The sequence below is a fragment of the Homo sapiens genome, chromosome 6, assembly GCF_000001405.40.
Source record: "Homo sapiens chromosome 6, GRCh38.p14 Primary Assembly".
In the NCBI taxonomy this organism is placed as follows: domain Eukaryota; kingdom Metazoa; phylum Chordata; class Mammalia; order Primates; family Hominidae; genus Homo; species Homo sapiens.
Window position 1 is genome coordinate 151,232,110 of NC_000006.12, and position 18,775 is coordinate 151,250,884.

Here is an 18,775-nt window from a genome sequence, read left to right on the forward strand (position 1 = left end):
ATTTTCTTTTCTTTCTTTTTTTTTTTGTGTGTGTGTGCGTGGGTTTTTTTTGAGATAGAGTCTCGCTCTTGTTGCCCAGGCTGGAGTGCAGTGGCACGGTGCGATCTCAGCTCACTGCAACCTCTACCTCCTGGCTTCAAGTGATTCTCCTGCCCCAGTCTCCCAAGTAGCTGGGACTACAGGTGTGCGCCACCACACTCGGCTAATTTTTGTATTTTTAGTAGAAATGGGGTTTCACTATGTTGGTCAGGCTGTTCTCGAACTCCTGACCTCTGGTGATCCACCCGCCTCAGCCTCCCAAAGTGCTGGGATTACAGGCGTGAGCCACCGCACCTGGCCCTTTTTTTCTTTATCTGACTCTGAACACATCTTCATGATCCATTAGATTCCAACATGCATTTTACAAACTAGAGCCATGCTACACATTGGTGAGGAGAGAAACAGAGAGGTGAGAGACTCTTGCAGGAGCATTTGGAAATGATATCAGCCAGGAAGATTATAGTTGTGTCCACTACTTCTTCACTGGCAAGATGAAGCCAAGGAGTGAAAGGAGCTTTGTACAAAGCACTGCAGAGTCAGGAAATCTATTGTTTCTGTATTTTATCAAGTCTGATTGTTTCAGAGTTAACAAGCTTACAAGCAAAACAAAATACCAACCTGTTAATAAGGTGTTGATCTCTATCTTGGCTTATTTTAATATTAAAAGGGTATTTCAAATATACTGGAAAGTGAAGGAGGTTGTAAGTTGAACATAAACAGGTACCTTGGACCTTTATTTTAGCCCGTCTGAAAATACATATTTTATCATTCTTTTTCAGAAATTAAAATTTTCATTTTGAGTTAATTGTGGATTACCATGCAGTTGTGAGAAATAATACAGAGAGATCCCGTATACCCTTCACCCAGTTTTCCCCAATAGTAACATCTTGCAAAAATAGAGTGCAATATCACAACCAAGATATTGACATTGATACAGTCAAGGAACAGAACATTCCCATCCCATAAAAATCCCTCTTGTTGCATTCTTACAGCAACACCCAGTTCTCTCCACCCTCTACCCTTCTTTAACCCTTAGCTACCACTGACTTCTTCATTTCTGTAATTTTGCCATTTCAAGTCTGTCATATAAATGGGATCATTTGTATGTAACCTTTGGGGATTGACAGGTTTCTTTCAGCAGAATTCTCTGGAGATTCATGCAGGTTGTTGCATATATTAATAGTTTGTTTCTTTTTATTGTTGACTAGTATTTCATGGTATGGGCAGATCAGTTTGTTTAACTAACATGTTGAAGGGCATCTAGGTTTTCCATTTTGGGGCTATTTCAAGTAAAGCTGGTATAAACTGCATGTTCAAGTTGTTACGTGAAGCTCCAGGAGTGTAACTGTAAGGTCATATGGTATGGTAGTTGCATGTTTCTTGTCTTTTTTGTTTTTTGGCTTCTTAGTTTTTTAAGAAGCTGCCGGCTAGGCACAGTGGCTCACACCTGTAATCCCAGCACTTTGGGAGGCCGAGGCAGGCAGAACACTTGAGGTTAGGTGTTCGAGACCAGCTTGGCCAACATGGTGAAACCCTGTCTCTACTAAAAATACAAAAATTAGCTGGGCGTGATTTGCGCCTGTAATCCCAGCTGCTTGGGAGGCTGAGGCACAAGAATCGCTTGAACCTCGGAGGTGGCGGTTGCAGTGAGCCAAGATCGCACACCACACTCCAGCCTGGACGACAGAGTGAGACTCAGTTTAAAAAAAAAAAAGAAGCCGCCAAACTGTCTTCCAGAGTGACTATGCTATATTACATTCCCACCAGCAGTGTATGAGTGATCCAGTTTCTCTGCAGCCTCATCAGCATTTGGCGTTGTCACTATTGTTTTCACTTTAGCCACCCTGATCATTGTGTAGTGATATCTCACTGTGGTTTTAATTTGCTTTTCCCAAATTGCACACAATTTATTTGCCACCTGTAGATCCTCTTTGATAAAATGTTGCTTCAAGTATTTTACCTGTGTTCTTGTTGATTTTTTGTTTGTTTGCTTGTTTTTTTACTGCTGAGTTTTAAGGATTCTTTCTATATTTAGATACTAGTCCCTTGTGGGATATGTGGTTTGCAAACATTTTCTCCCAATCTGTAGCTTTTCTTTTCATCTTTTCAACTGGGTCTTATGTAGGACAAAAGTTTTAAATTTTGGTGAAGTCCAATTTATAGTTTTTCCTCTTATGGATCATGCTTTTTGTATCAAGTCTAAGAACTATCCTGCTTAGCCTTAGCTTCCTAAGATTTTCTCCTGTCTTTTCATTTTTTTTGTTTTGAGACGGAGTCTCGCTCTGTCTCCCAGGCTGGAGTGCAGTGGGGAGATCTTGGCTCACTGCAAGCTCCGCCTCCCGGGTTCACGCCATTCTCCTGCCTCAGCCTCCTGAGTAGCTGGGACTACAGGCTTCCGCCACCATGCCCGGCTAATTTTTTGTATTTTTAGTAGAGACTGGGTTTCACCTTGTTAGCCAGGATGGTCTCGATCTCCTGACCTTGTGATCCGCCCACCTCAGCCTCCCAAAGTGCTGGGATTACAGGCGTGAGCCACCGCGCCTGGCCTTCTCCTGTCTTTTCTAAAAGTTTTACAGTTTTGTGTTTTACGTGTAAGTCTGTGATCCATTTGTAGTTAATTATTTTATCAGATGTGTGACATAAGTCAAGGTTAACTTTTTGCCCATGAATGTCCAATTGCTTCAGCACCATTTGTTGAAAGGCTGTCATCCACCATTGAATTACTTTTGCACCTTTGTCTTTTTAAAAAATACATTTATTTATTTATTTATTTATTTATTTACTAGTGACATCTCCATGTGAATACTTTTGAGCCTTTGTCAAAAATCATTTGGGCATGTTTATATAGGTTTATTGCTATTGTTATGATTTTAAAAGCATTTAGCAAGCTAACTTAAAGGAATACAAAATAAACATTAGATCAGGTTATCCACCTTTCCTTTGTGTATTGCTAGTTGAGATGTTTATCAATTCACAACCTAATCTTTTTTTCTTTTTTATTTTTTTTGAGACAGAGTCTTACTCTTTCGCCCAGGCTGGAGTGCAGTGGCGCGATCTTGGCTCACTGCAACCTCCATCTCCCAGGTTCAAGCAATTCTCCTGCCTCAGCCTCCCAAGTAGCTGGGATTACAGGCGCACACCACCACGCTTGGCTAATTTTTGTATCTTTTTAAAGTAGAGACGGGGTTTCACCATGTTGGCCAGGCTGGTCTCAAACTCCTGACCTCAGGTGATCCACCCGCCTCCGCCTCCCAAAGTGCTGGGATTATAGATGTGAGCCACCGCACCAGGCCACAAAGGGATTTAAGTTGGTAGAGGAACATAAAATCTACAGTTCACATCGTATAATATATTGTATAATAGCTTTGTTTTGAGTGCGCAATGTTGACTTATTGAAGCAAAGTTTCCAACTTTGAAAAGTCCTCTGCATTTTGCCTGGCACTCAACTCAGTGAAAGTTTATTTAATTAATATGTGAAAAATATATATTTTAATGTTGGATACTTATAGGGTCCTTTGTAGAAGGGATTTGAAATTGTGAGGATTACAGCCACTTGATCTACCCTGGAATGTAGACACCTTCCACATACCTTCTGGTATCTTCTAACAGTGCATCCTGAGAAATTCTTTCTCCATATTGGACACATCATTTACTCTATCTTGGTTCCAGTCCCTCCTTTGTTACTTGAGAGTAATCCTGAATTTGAGTCAGGCACCAATCTTAAACCTTGGTAAATGAAACTGAGATCCAAATAGCTGGCTTTATACTTAACTCCAAAGCAATAAATTCCTTAAGAGTTACAAGGATAGCATTTGCCTATATATATATACGTGATGTATGTCTACAAGCGGCTGAGCTTTAAACTTCATCTGTAAATTGAACATTTTCTGTAGCTTCCATATGAATTTTAGATTATTAAGTACTCATGAATTGAATACAACTGTTAATTCTTCTAGTTTATAATTAGCAAATTATAATTAATGCTCTAAAATAATCCGTCTCAAATCCTCACATAGAAAGTAAAATTCAAATAATTTACTCACAGTTTCTTCCATAGACTTCTCAACAGGGTAATAACATTATTCTTGGTTATTTATTTTCCAGGCCATGTAAATGTTAATATTCTTATTTGTAAAAAGTAAAATCATATCTTAAGAGATGCATGCGCACATTCTAGTACTCTCTATTCTGCCTGAAACAGCTCTGTGATAAGGGAGTATTAAGAATAACAAATTCACACGAGCACAAGATAGAGTGGGAATTAGGTTCTTAGATGACTGGATATCTCTGTGGGAACAACTGGTTTAGAAAGAAGTAGGTGTTTTATCCAGGGAAAACAAAGAAGTTATAATCAAGAGAGAAGCAGTTTCAAAGGTGAAGGTGAAGAGTTGCCAGTCTCAGCGAAGGCTTTGTAACTAGAGAATGAATCTTTAGGGTAGAGTTAACGGTAGATTTTAAACTGTTTTAATAATTAAAATTATTATTGCACTTTGAAGGGGGTGTCTGAACTCAGTTGTAAAATGTTTGACATTTGTGAATTCCTTTAATGTTATATTTGAAACTGTTTTGGTGCATGCACAAGGTGCCCAACTATGACTCTACATTTTATTGTTAAACCTCATGTGACCCGTCTTTCTGGAGAAGTATGTGTGCGAAGTACAGGTTCAGCCTGCTACACAGGCAACATGTATTTGTTTTTGAGAAATCTCAAACTGTGTTTATGAGAGAATTAACCCTCTCAGGGAAACAGCTCTACCAACGACTGCCCCATGGGAGAGGATGTGTGGGGACACCTGCATCCTGCTATTTGGAGAAAAATTGAGCTGCTGGTGAGACATTGAACCAACAGCCTTGGACTGAGAAGTGAAAAATAGAGAACACCTGCCTCCCCTCTACTCTGATGCCAATCCAAGCAATTCCGAAGGCATCTTGGAAGCCCTAGAAAAGAAAACCTCAGTGACTCGATTTAGAACCTTGGAAACTAGAGTGGTAACTTTGTGCTTGGCACATAATAGGTACTTGATAGAAATTTATTGAAAGAAAGAAAGAGAAGAAGGAAAGAAAGAAAAAGAAAGAAAGAACAGAGAAGAAGGAAAGAAAGAAAAAGAAAGAAAGAAAGAAAAGTAAAAAAAGTAACAAACTTTGTAGCATTCTGAAGCACTAAGTGGCATACCCAAAAGGTTGGGCTATTTCATCGCTAGAGGTCATTAATAACACAACCACTTTTCTTTTCTTCTCTTTTTTTTTTTTGAGACAGGGTCTCACTATGTCATCCAGGCTGCAGTCTGGAACTCCTGGGCTCAAGTGATCCTCCCGCCTCAGCCTCCCAAGTAGCTAGGACTACAGGCATGCACCACCACTCCTGGCTAAATTTTTTTTTATTTTTTGTAGAGATGGGAGTTTCACTGTGTTGCCCAGGCTGGTCTTGAACCCCTGGTGTCAAGCAATCCTTCCACTTCAACCTCCCAAAGTGCTGGGATTACAGGCGTGAGCCACCGCGCCCAGCGCAATGATTTTACTTTTTACAAATAAGAGTATGAACATTTACATGGCCTGGAAAATAAACAAAAAGCAAGTAACTGCTAATCTAAGCAGATGCTGATATCTTCCTCAGCACGTAGGTTGTACACTGTTGGCTTGACCCTGCAATCCTTTCTGAAAATTTAAAGGGTAGTAGATGTGAAAAGCTTTGCTAAGAATTTCCCAGGAACAAAGTAAATATAATCTCACAGAATGTGAAAATGTTGATAGTATTTGTGCTACTTACTGATACATTTTCAAATGTGCTGACGTTAATCATTCTCAAATAGTTTTTTTTTTCTTCTTCTTTTTTTTTTTTTGGGACGGAGTCTTAATCTGTCATCCAGGCTGGCGTGCAATGGCATGATCTCAGCTCACTGCAACCTCCACCTCCCAGGTTCAAGCAGTTCTCGTGTCTTGGCCTCCTGAGTAGCTGGGATTACAGACACGCGCCACCATGCCTGGCTAATTTTTGTACTTTTAGTAGAGACGGGGTTTCACCATGTTGCCCAGGCTGGTCTTGAACTACTGTCCTCAGGTGATCCACCCACCTCGGCCTCCCAAAGTGCTGGGATTACAGGTGTAAGCCACCACACCTGGCCTCAAGTAGGTTTTAACAGTGCTTTTTGCTCTTAAAATCCTAAGTGAGGTCCAAATGCCACGTTTCAGTAACACCTCTGAGAGGAGAGAACACAGTTGATTGAAAGGGAAGGGGAGTGCCATGCGGTGGTGAAGCGTGGACCCTGAAAGCAGATGCCAGTTGGACTTCCTGCTCTTCCAACTCCTGGCTGTGAAACCTGAAGCACACAATTTAATTTCTCCGGGCCTACTCCTCCCCCTCCTGCCAATGGTAAAATGAGAATAATACTATCTATCCCATGGGGTTATTGTAAAGATTATTATGTAAAGTGCATTGAACAGTGCCTGGTACAGAGTAAGAATTCTAATGTTTCCTAAATAGTCAAAATTTAAGTCAAAATGGGGGAAATGTGTATAAATTCCTAAAACTAAGCATTTTGCAAATATACTGTTTCTTAAGAGATAAACTCCAGAGAAATTGGCCTTCGTGTAGTCCTTTAAATAAAAATAATTAATTCAGAAAACAGGCCCAGTGTGGTGGTTCACACCTATAATCCCAGCACTTTGAGAGGCCAAGGCAGGAGGATCGCTTGAGCTCAGGAGTTCAACACTAGCCTGGGCAACACAGCGAGACCTTGTCTCAAAAAAAGAAAAAGAAAAAAAATTAATTCAGAAAACAAATTTGATGGTGAGTAACTAACCTATGGTTCCCAGGGTACCATTCGATTCATGCAATTCATTAGGCATGAAACATCCTAGTGCTGAACTACTGCTTACACCCTTTCTACAAAATTGTACTAAATCTGAGTATGAGATATTTATCTGGAATTTGGTGTGAATATTCCGAAAGTTTCTTCCTTCTTTCTTTCTTTTTTTTTTTTGACAGAATCTTGCTCTGTCGACTAGGATGGAGTGCAGAGGCACAGTCATAGCTCACTGCAGCCTCGAATTCCTGGGCTGAAGTCATCCTTCTACCCCAGCGTCCCCAGCCTCCTGAGTAGCTAGGACTACAGGTGCACCACTGCGCCTGGCTAATTTTTTTATTTTTTGTAGAGACAAGGTCTCGCTATGTTAACCAGGCTGGTTTCTTCATTCTTAATGGAGATTCAAAGTATTTGTGAAAACTGGGGCACTCGGTTGCTAGTTACAACTGGAATAAATTTTGTCTTTCAGCCCCAAAGCCTTAATGCTTTGCGCCAAGCAATCCAGCTACAAATTTAATTTAGTTCAAATACTTATTGATTGGCTGCCATGCTCATGTAATACATATTATATTCAAGGGTCGGAAATGAAAGGATGCAAGCCACTTGTGCTGGTATTATTTAAAGTCTTCATCTTTTGAGAAAGGCTGACGGCAAAGGAACAGATCTATGCTGTCATGTGTCGGCATCGCGCGGAGCAGAGGTGGCCTGGATGGGTAACTTCCAGCACAGGCCCTCAAAGAAGGACGGGCACATTTCCGGTAACAGCCTCATTTCCCCCCGTTCCCCGGGGGAAGGGGGGCGGCTAGCACTGCTGATGGCATCGCCTGACATCACTTGTTCCGGAGGATAGGAGAGCGTGGGCCTGCGTGGCCCACCTCATCCGTGGCCTGACTGCGTTAACCTCTCGGTTCCCTGCTCTTGCCACGTGAGGTGCCCAAATATGGTCGGACTCAGGAGGAGCCAGGGAGCGCTTGCCTTTCTCCTGCTAATGGGGAGGAGGCTGGAACAAATGTTTGGAGTTAAACACAATCTGCAGGAAAGCAAATGGGGACTCGGACTCGCTCCTGGGCGAGCTGAAAGTCGGCTGCAGCAGAAGCTCCTGCCTTGGGTGATCCATCATTTAATAAACCCCAGAGAATCCAGTGTCCCCGGCAGGCTTTTTGCTCCCCTGCTCTCTTGCCTTCTGAGGCCCTGGGTCGTCCCCGCAGCTCTAGTCGCCCTGTTAGAAACGGGAGGCGCCCGAGGGCCGGGTGGGCGGCTGCCTGGACCTGGGCTGGCGCGTCGCAGCGCCTCTGGTCCCGGCAGCCTGGGGGCAGATGCTGCTGCAGGGCGTGTCTGGGGCTGTGCTCATGTGATGAAGCGAGGGAAAAACCGGGGGGAGGGGGGCGGAGGCTAAGAGGTGGCCTTTTTTTTTTTTTCCTTTTCTTTTAAGGAGTTTGCCGCGAGCGCGTCTCCTTCATTCGCAGGCTGGGCGCGTTCGCAGTCGGCTGGCGGCGAAGGAAGGCGCTCTCGGGACCTCGCGGGCGCGCGTCTTTTGGCTCTTGCCCCTGTCCCTGCGGCTTGGGGAAGGCGTAACCCGGCGGCTAGGCGCGGGAGAAGTGCGGAGGAGCCATGGGCGCCGGGAGCTCCACCGAGCAGCGCAGCCCGGAGCAGCCGCCCGAGGGGAGCTCCACGCCGGCTGAGCCCGAGCCCAGCGGCGGCGGCCCCTCGGCCGAGGCGGCGCCAGACACCACCGCGGACCCCGCCATCGCTGCCTCGGACCCCGCCACCAAGGTACGGGCGTGCCGGGCCACCTGCGCCGGGAGGCGCGGGTCTTTGGGGGTGGGGGTGGGGGTGGGGGGGTCCCTCCGATTTCCGCCGAGAGAACTTCCCAGCCCATCCAGCCGCATCTGCAAACTCAGGAGTGCGAACCCCTCTTTGGAGGCTTTTCAGGGTCTTTCGCGCCGGGGCGGGGCCAGAGCAGCGGCGAGCGCGGCGGGGGGCTTGCATCTTTGTCGCGGGTCTCCAGGGGAGGCGACTGCGCCATGCGCAATAATAAAACCCGCGCCCTGCCCACGGCGGCTGAGCCTTTCTGCGCACTCTTCCGGTGGGAGCCATGCAGCCCGAGGCGGAGGAGCTGCGCGGAGGGGGATCCGTGGAGAATGGACCCCGGGCCGGGCCTCCGGAGCTCCGAGATGCGGAAAGTCAGCTGTGAGGCCAGGACTCGTGGTGGAGCCCGCCGGGGAGCCCAGCCACCCTCGGGTTCCCCGTCGCGTACCGCCCTGGATGCCAGCGGTGCCTGGAGCGAGCGGGTTTGGTACCCAGTCCTCCTGCGGCAGCGGCCCGAGCAGGCACCGCCTTCCCGAGGCAGAGAAAGCCTGGGGTGTAGCTCGCTCAGAGCCAGGAAAAACCTGGGCAGGCGCTGCGTTTCCAGAAGGAATGACAGGTTTCGCAAACCAGCCAGCGCCCTCGCGTTCGCTCAGCGCTTTGCCTGCAGACTCAGTTGGCCAAACACACGCTAGAGTGGCTAGAAGTTCTCAAAGGATGGGGTCAGTGTAACGAGCATTCCGGGTACTCTTCCCTGGACGCAGTGCTGAAACGACTGCATTTTATCGGCTTCAGTCTTCAAGGCTGGAATATTTCTTGTGGGCCAGGACAGCCGCCAAGACTGTGGCTTGTTCTGGTCGTGGTATTTTAGATCTATTTTCCAGCGCATGTGTTCATTAGCAAGGCTTCACTCTACTGATTTTGTGATACCCTTGTATCACAAAGGTACCCTTGTGATACCTTGTAGAAAGATGTGGATAACCATGTTTAATAGTTAAATTTGCGGTATGTCAAATTTGAGGATAGAGTACGTGAGTTATCGCAGGAGGTGTAGATGTTTACAATATGCAAAAAAAAAAAAAAAAAGGAACCTACAACCATGACCTAATTGCCTTGACCTCCTTAGCTGCCCTAGTCTCTTTTGGGCTGAGAGACTGCTGTTAATAATATAGTTTTTACCGCCAGTCTTTGATTCATAACTACTTGTAAAATCCATGGTCCCTAGATATTAAGTACTAACTGTGTCTCTGTGCTATGTAGGTTTTTCTAAGAGATGCTTAAGCTTCTGGCCTGAGGAATGTACTGTCCTTTTGAGATTCAAGTCGCATTTTAATACTTACTGTATGCACATAATGTTTTGATGCCAGCTACTGTCAAAGTGGCTCTGTAACCAGTGGTCAGAGTCTAGCGATGAAAATAATTTTAAGGTATAATTGCTAAAAACTTGCAGTTGGGTGACATTCCCCCCACCGCCCCGGCTTTTATACTCCTTCAGATCTTACTAACTGTTCACCCTGAAATATGGGATTTAATCCCTTCCCAGTAAACTTGAATTTGTTTATTTAAAAATATTCCTTCCATTCTCTTTTTCCGTCTTCCATAACCTTATCCTTTTCCTCTTTCCAAGTTGCCAACCGTCTTGAAGCAACCAAACAACCTCCTTTTAAAAAATCACTTAAATGACATCCAGAATATCATTGAACTTGTTGGCATAATGCCCAGTTATCAATTTGGAGACAAATCAGTGCACTTACATGTATCCTTGGAATGTATTTAGTTTTCATTTGAACTAGCCAAATTTATCACTCAGGCTTTGAACACAAATGTCTTTTCAAAAGGACTCCCCAATTAAGAATGACTCAGCACCATGGCCCTTGCCTCCCCTCTTCTTGTTAAGCTCCAATTCCTGACCTCCAAGTAATCCCATCTCCCACTCTAGGCTCCGTGGCACCATGGACCCGTCCCAGCAGTTTTCACATGTGTGGGTTTAGTGTTCTTGCTGTTGTGAATACTTCGCAGGGGCAGGGAACACGCCTGGTTGTGCCGACCAACGGTGTTCCTTCATGCGTGCCATGTTGCCTGGCACAGAGGCAGCTCTCAGGAATACTTGTGGAAAGAGGAAGGGGTGATATTGGCTCCTTGGTTTTGATTGGAAAATATCAAGTTGGAGAATACCTTGACCTATCTGATTTTACTACAATTTAACCCTTGATCATTTCATTATCACGTGAGACTGATTATGATAGTGACTAAGGCAAGTCAGTCTGTTCGGTTATTAATAGATCAAGTGAATAGTTTGACCAAAAACTTCAGATTTGGGGGCTTTGGATTCTGTTTCTCTAGATATAGAGTGACTTGTTAGCATTGCAATTTCAAATTGCGTTTTATCTTAAATAGACAAATATATGAAGTGCATATGGCTCAAATGAGTCCATTTCATACCCTGAGTTACTTAGGATTACATCTTGAACTTCCTTGATGTGTCTGTGGACGGTTGGGGAGGTTTAGGCTAATACATCATTTTTCCCTCCTTGGATAGAATGTGGTCATTAATTAAAGGTTGTAGGCAGATCTTTTTCTATCTAATAGCTGACATTTATATCACATGCATGCTATCTATTTAGCAATTGGATTTACTTTCCTTTTTTTCTGCTAGTTTTAGTTACCAGTTATTCACTAAGTGCCCTTATCTGAACAGACATTACACTGGTTGAATTATCACTTGTATTAGGTCAAATGGAGAGTTAAACAAGCTTTTGATTACTCAGGCTTAACGTTTAGATGCACTAAAGCAGAAGTCTTGGTTTTATCTATGGTTCATTTCTGTAAAATGGAAGGAGTCTTTATCTTCTATTCAATCTTTTGTAATCTTTATTTTTTCCGTTAGATCCAGAGATAGACTGGAAATCTTTTACAGTCTTTATATGTAAGATCCAGGCGGGGGCAGGGGGAATGGCTTGGTCTGTTATCTGCCAGGGTTTAATTTTGAGACATGGCCGTTTCACAACTGCAGGGTGCGGGAAGATTAGATGACCTGAATGCTGGTGGTAAGTAAAGCCTCACACTTCACATTATTCCTTAATTGTCTGTTTTTAAAAATTTGTCTTAAAAAAATATTAAGGTGGCAACATATTCAGGTGGCAACAGAGGGTGGGGTGACCAGTGACAAACTGACTTCCATGTCTCTGGCTAATCTTGATTTCTGGAGCCAGGCTCCAGACTAAGTCTGGACAATCAATTAATTAGCCTTTCTATATGTATTGCCTGATGAATGATTTCAATGCTGGACATTGAACAATGGTCTGTTGCAACAGGGTGAGGCCATTGTCTCTGGCAGGTGGGGAGATGGGGGCTCTTGTTAGCTCCATTTGATTACAAGAGCCTTGAATCACCAAAACATAAAGATGTACTCGAATAGAAGAGTCCGTTGTCTGACTGGTAAATTTAAGGATGTGTTTGACCCTCGTGCATTAAAACAGACAATTGGCCGGGTGCGGTGGCTCACGCCTGTAATCCCAGCACTTTGGGAGGCTGAGGCAGGCAGATCACAAAGTCAGGAGATCCAGACCATCCTGGCTAACACGGTGAAACCCCATCTCTACTAAAAATACAAAAAATTAGCCAGGCGTGGTGGCGGGCGCCTGTAGTCCCAGCCACTCGGGAGGCTGGGACAGGAGAATGGCGTGAACTCGGGAAGCGGAGTTTGCAATGAGCCGAGTTGGCGCCACTGCACTCCAATCTGGGCAACAGAGCGAGACTCTGTCTCAAAGAAACAAACAAACAAACAAACAAAACCAGACAATTGAGGCGGCCAGCTGCATTTCATAATTCCTCCCATAAGCTTCCTCCTATTTGCCACTTGTTTAGCAATGGAAATGGAGAACGAAGATGGCCTCAAAGTGACTACATCACCAGTGTTACAAAAATGGGCCAGAATTTAAGGCAAGAATTATATGTTTCTTAATAGAGGGATGTTTCTCTGTGTGTGGCTACTTGTATTCCTGTGGATTTTTACCAGATTATAAGAGCTGCTAATTTCTGATCAGAACAGAGACCAAAAATTGGAGATATGGATGTGGGGATGATTCTTTTGGGTACCGATAGACTGCAGGAATCGCAGGGCTTCCTTTAAATCCATTACAGCTTATAGGCTAGTGGATGAATAAGATAAGTGGAGATTTTCTCTTGAAATATTTCCTTCTATGAAGAAAAGGCCTTGAAATGTGCATCCTCTTTGGGTTGACTAATTTCTATGCCTTTACAGCTTTAAGCTGACATTATAAGATTATTCTAGTTTGGATCTTGTAAGATAATTAACAAAATGGAAATAAAATGTTTTGTTTTTAAAAATGCTAATAAATTATTTATTTTCCTTTGTCTTAGTTAGTTTTAATACATATTCAGTGCTTAAAGAACACCAGTGCAGGAAAACTCAAACTAAATGGCATCATCCCCCATCTCTATAATTCTATATGCAGTAGCCATTCATGCGAAGTTAGAAATTAGAATTTATAGCACTAAGCATTCTAAGAAAAATTAAGCCAGTACGTTTATCTCTTGAAAAAAAAAAAAGCAACTAAATTTCCTTGAACCGAATTCTTTTTTTTGGCTCACTGCAACCTTTGCCTCCCAGGTTCAAGCGATTCTCCTGCCTCAGCTTTCCGAGTCGCTGGGATTACAGGCACCCACCACCACGCCCAGCTAAGTTTCTGTATTTTTAGTAGAGATGGGGTTTCACCATGTTGGCCAGGCTGGTCTCAAACTCCTGACCTCGTGATCCACCCGGCTAAGGCAGGAGAATGGCGTGAACCCGGGAGGTGGAGCTTGCAGGGAGCCGAGATGGCACCACTGCAGTCACCACTGCAGTCCAGCCTGGGCGACAGAGAGAGACTCCGTCTCAAAAAAAAAAAAAAAAAAAATCAAAAGCATGTGTTTACCCTTATTAATGATTTTTATTTAAAGTCATTGCATAGCAATATTCATTTAATGTTTATTTTTTAAAAAAATTAATGATTGAGAACTTAAATTTATAAGTAGGGTAAATTACTCACAAATTTAAGTAAAATTTGAAGCCAATATGATGGCTTCTTACATATTCTTTCGAAAACTTCATGCACATGAAAGTAGATAAAAATGGCACAGTCTTTTCCATTTAAGAAAAAGATCATATCACATATAGATTTAGGTTTTGGATGTCTTTTCATATCAGGACATAAATAACTGCCCCCATTCTTATTAATTTGGGTGCATAAATTTCCCTTTTGTGGGTTGAAGCCCTGTAACGATTTAACCAATTCCTTGGGTTTATATTTAGATTGTCCTCGTCCATAAGTGTAATTGCTGAATTGCAAGCTTTATATGCATTTAAAAATTTAACCCGGCAAGGTGCGGTGGCTCACGCCTGTAATCCCAGCACTTTGGGAGGCCGAGGCAGGTGAATCACAAGGTCAGGAGTTCGAGACCAGCCTGGCCAACATGGCGAAACCTCGTCTCTACTAAAAACACAAAAAATTAGCTGGGTGTGGTGGCAGGTGCCTGTAATCCCAGCTACTTGGGAAGCTGAGGCAGGAGAATCTCTTGAACCTGGGAGGGGGAGGTTGCAGTGAGCTGAGATCTCACCACTGCATTCCAGCCTGGGTGACAGTGCAAGACTCCGTCTCAAAAACAAAAACAAAAACAAAAACAAAAAATTTAACCCTTCCTAAATTGACTTTCCAAAGAGGTTCTACCACTTTGCAGTTCCACCGTGGAGATCAGCACTCGTTTTCCCATGCTTTGCCTTCATGGGTATCAGATTTTCCAATACTTGCCAATGTGCTAGGTGAAGAATGGTACCTCAGTTTCCTTGGTGCATTTTTAACTGTGAAGTTGAATGCCTCATCATGTTTCTCTGCCATGTGCTTGCCATCTGATCATGCACTGGTCTGGCTGTCAGAGCATGAAAGGCTATGGTTTGTTTCACTGTTAATTAATTTTCATTTTCATTTTCATTTAACTTTAATTTTATTTATTTATTGTTTTTGAGATAGGCTCTCATTCTGTTGCCCAGTGTGGAATGCAGTGGTGCAATCTTGGTTTACTGCAGCCTCGACCTCCTGGGCTCAAATGACCCTCCTACTTCAGCCTCCTGAGTAGCTGGGACTACAGGCACACACCACCAGGTAGCTGGGACTACAAGTGCACACCACCATGCCTGGCTAATTTTGTTTATTTTTGGTAGAGACAAGGTCTCACTGTGTTGCCCAGGCTGGTCTGGACCTCCTGGACTGAAGTGATCCTCCCACCTCTGCCTCCCAAAGTGCTGAGATTACAGGTGTGAGCCCCCATGCCCTGCCCAATTAATTTTTAAAGATTTTTTTTTCTAGCCAGGTGTGGGGGCTCACACCTGTAATCTCAGCACTTTGAGAGGCCAAGAAGGGAGGATCACTTGAGAGAAAGTTCAAGAGTGGCCTGGGCAACATAGCAAGACCCCATCTCTACAAAAAATAAAAAATTTAGCTGGGTGCGGTGACGTGTACCTGTAGTCCTAGCTACTTGGAAGGCTGAGGTGAGAGGATTGCTTCCACCCAGGAGTATGAGGCTGCAGTGAGCTATGATCATGCTACTGCACTACAGCCTGGGTGGCAGAGCAAGACCCTATCTCTATTTAAAAAAACAAAACAAAACAAAAAAACAAAAAAACTTTTTCCCCAGAAATTAATCAAATTGGAAAAAAGCAAGTTCAAGAATAAAAACGCAGCTGAGGTAGAGCAGTCTTACTCTCCTTTGCTCCTTTTCCTTTCCAAATTAATGAACCATCTTTAAATTTATTTGCTTGGAGGATGACCTACTTCTTTAGCTATCACTTTTAAAATTTCTTCTCTTGGAACAATCTAAAATCATTTAGTTGCCAGAAATTACTTTGTGGTCATGATCCGTGAAATGTTGAGATCAGGGATTGGAAGCAGCAGAAATCCACCTCTTGGGAAAACAATAGAGTGAAGGCTTACCCGGGATCCTCTCCCGTTCTCACGGCAAACAGCCTGGCTCTGTTAACTGGATGGTATACATGGATTTTCTGAGAAAAATGTAGGTGTTCAAAGCACAGGAAACCATCTGGGACACCGGGACACCATTAGGCACCTCTTAATACAAGTATTCATTTCAGGTTCAAAGCTTTTTGTCTTCCCTGTGATTTCTCTGTGATGTTTTTTAAATGGGGGAAACCCTGTAGTTTCTCTCTGCCTAATCTTAATCCCAGTTGTAGTAGCATGTCAGTTTCATGTTTGATTTCAAAACGAAATAAACCAAAATTTAAGAAGGAGAGATTACTGCAGTTTATTGGCTGACCATCTATTTGTTATATGCAAATACTGCAAACTGGGAGTATTGAAGGATTAAATTTTTCCTAATTCCCAAACCTGGTGGTGCTATTGAATCACCTAGAGAGCTTTTCAAAGACACCCCTACACCTCATCCTGGATTTATTGAATTAGAATCCCAGGCAATCTCAGGGTCTGGGATTCTGTGATTTTTTTTTTTTTTTTTGAGAGACAGGGTCTCACTGTGTTTCCCAGGCTAGTCTTGAACTCCCGGACTCAGGCCATCCTTTGGCCTCAGCCTCCTGAGTAACTGAGACTACCAGCTCCTGCCACTGTGCTGGGATTCTGTAGTCTTAAAATGCTCATCAGATATTCTAATGTGTGGGGTGTGGGCTCCATTACCTTAAGGGAGGGGAAGGAGTAGGCGTAAGAGCTGAATAAGGGCCAGGGAGAGGTTCAGGTCTAGGTGACACTGGGTGATAGCATGTGCAGATTTCACTGAGATTGGAACTTGTGTGGGTGAGAGGGACGGTTTCACATGATGAAAGAGTAGCATTTTCCTTCACACATCTGGAGGATAAAATAAAGGAAAATATTTCTTCCACATAATTTCATTCCTTTGTTTGACTATATTAAAAAGTGGGTTGCTGGCCGGGCATGGTGGCTCACGCCTGTAATCCCAGCACTTTGGGAGGCCGAGGCGGGCGGATCACGAGGTCAGCAGTTCAAGACCAGCCTGGCCAACATGGTGAAACCCCATCTCTATTAAAAATACAAAAATTAGCCAGTATGGTGGTGTGTACCTGTAATCCCAGCTACTCGGGAGGCTGAGGCAGGAGAATCGCTTGAACCTAGGAGGTGGAGGTTGCAGTGAGCCGAGACCGCATCATTGCACTCCAGCCTGGGCGACAGAGCAAGACTCTGTCTCAAAAAAAAAAAAGTGGATTGCTAACGGAGGCTTTTTAAAATAGATTGTGCCATTCAAGGTAAGTAGGTGTTCAGTGAAATGCCCGTATCCCTACTGAGCCAGAAGCTGTGACTTTTCGGTGTTCCCCTTCCATCTCATTGCCTCCTAAGCCCTCTTCCCTTATTTATCATTTTAAAACTTCCCTTGTGCTGAATAAGTAGACAGTAGCTAAGGGCTTAGTTTATGGCATTTGACTGGTCCAAAAATCTGTAAAGAAATTTTAAAACCTACCAAGTTGTTGAAGAATAGAGTTCTGGCTTTCTCAGCCACTTACTATTCAATCTTGATTTCATAAATATTTCTGTTTTAATTTCTTCCATTTATTTTTTAATATAATAGAGACAAGGTCTCACTGTGTTGCCAAGGCTGGTCTCGAACTCCTGAGCTCAAGTGATCCTCTTGCCTTGGCCTCCCAAAGTGCTGGGTTACAGGGTGAGCCACCTACGCCTGGCCATTTCATAAATACTTCTTTACTAGCTTCTGTACTCCAGGAACTGTGCTAGGAACTGGGGAAACAGAAGTTCAGTTCTAAAAAAGTTAAAGTTCTCTCTTTCATATATTTAGATCTTTATTCCACTAGCTACTGATGATGTCTAGAAGGAGAAATCTTAAATTCATTTTTATATGGGTTACCTATTGCTCCAGTACCATTGATTAAAAAGTTACCTCTTGTTAAAACTCAAGTTTCCATATATGCATAAACCTGTTTATTGATTTCCTTTTACTTTTAAATTTTTTCTGCTGTGTCTATTTGTGCAATAAACTGAAAGCATTGTGGGAGTGGCTAAACATCTGATCAATTATAATAGCAAGCCCATGGTTTAAAATAGTTTTATATTCTACATCTCAAGTGTTACCCTTGTCTCTTTCATGGCTATGGTGAGTTCATACATACATAAATACCAACATGTGGCTCGTGGGCATGGTGGCTCACACCTGGTGGGCATGGTGGCTCATGCCTATAATCCCAGCACTTCGGGAGGTGAGGGTGGGAGGATCACTTGAGCCTAGGAGTTCAAGATCAGCCTAGGCAGCATAGTGAGACCCCACTGCTACAAAAAATTTAAAAATTAGCCGGGTGTGGTGGCACATGCCTGTAATTCCAGCTAGTTGGGAGGCTGAGGTGGGAAGATCACTAGAGCCCGGGAAGTTGAAGCTGCAGAGACCCTGTCTCAAAAAAATAAATAAATAGGCTGGGCGTTGTGGCTCACGCGTGTAATCCCAGCATTTGGGAGGCTGAGGCAGGTGGATCATTTGAGGTCAGGAGTTTGAGACCAGTCTGACCAACATGGTGAAACTCCGCTTTACTAAAAATACAAAAAAGTTAGCCGGGTGTGGTGGCGCCTGCCTGTAGTCCCAGCTACTCTAGAGGCTGAGGCAGGAGAATCGCTTGAACACGGGAGGCGGAGCTTGCAGTGAAGCCGAGATTGCACCACTGCACTCCAGCCTGGGTGACAGAGTGAGACTCCATCTTAAAATAAATAAATAAATAAATAAAATAAGAAAATGGGAATCGTGTGTTCTTTTAAGCTTAGCTTGTTTTCTTGGTATGTAATAGCATTCATTAAAAATGGTCAGATATTTTCCTTTTTTTTTTTGAGACGGAGTCTCGCTCTGTTGCCCAGGCTGGAGTGCAGTGGCGCGATCTCGGCTCACTGCAAACTCCGCCTCCCGGGTTCACGCCATTCTCCTGCCTCAGCCTCCCGAGTAGCTGGGACTACAGGCGCCCGCCACCACGCCCGGCTAATTTTTTGTATTTTTAGTAGAGATGGGGGTTTCACCGTGTTAGCCAGGATGGTCTCAATCTCCTGACCTCGTGATCCACCCGCCTCGGCCTCCCAAAGTGCTGGGATTACAGG

General features: G+C 43.8%; 1 protein-coding gene across 2 annotated transcripts in view, besides 2 other annotated features; it reads left to right on the plus strand.

Moving 5' to 3' along the window:
• Positions 7,661 to 8,170: an enhancer, noted in NCBI's record as "H3K27ac-H3K4me1 hESC enhancer chr6:151560905-151561414 (GRCh37/hg19 assembly coordinates)". NCBI's record gives its function as "activates a minimal SCP1, AML or CMV promoter by ChIP-STARR-seq in naive H9 embryonic stem cells {active_cell/tissue: H9 hESC(naive)}" and the evidence as "EXISTENCE:reporter gene assay evidence [ECO:0000049][PMID:30033119]".
• The window catches only part of AKAP12 (A-kinase anchoring protein 12), a 118,593-nt gene continuing 107,675 nt past the window's right edge, over positions 7,858 to 18,775 (plus strand). Inside the window, exons 1-2 of one of the 2 annotated variants that reach the window (NM_005100.4) lie at positions 7,858 to 7,950; positions 8,275 to 8,615. In NM_005100.4, coding sequence (NP_005091.2) covers positions 8,454 to 8,615 — 162 coding nt within the window. In that variant the 5' untranslated portion in view covers positions 7,858 to 7,950; positions 8,275 to 8,453. The remainder of the gene's footprint in view (positions 7,951 to 8,274; positions 8,616 to 18,775) is intronic. The other variant, XM_017011517.3, reaches the window with a different exon arrangement.
• Positions 8,248 to 8,825: an enhancer, noted in NCBI's record as "H3K27ac-H3K4me1 hESC enhancer chr6:151561492-151562069 (GRCh37/hg19 assembly coordinates)". NCBI's record gives its function as "activates a minimal SCP1, AML or CMV promoter by ChIP-STARR-seq in primed H9 embryonic stem cells {active_cell/tissue: H9 hESC(primed)}" and the evidence as "EXISTENCE:reporter gene assay evidence [ECO:0000049][PMID:30033119]".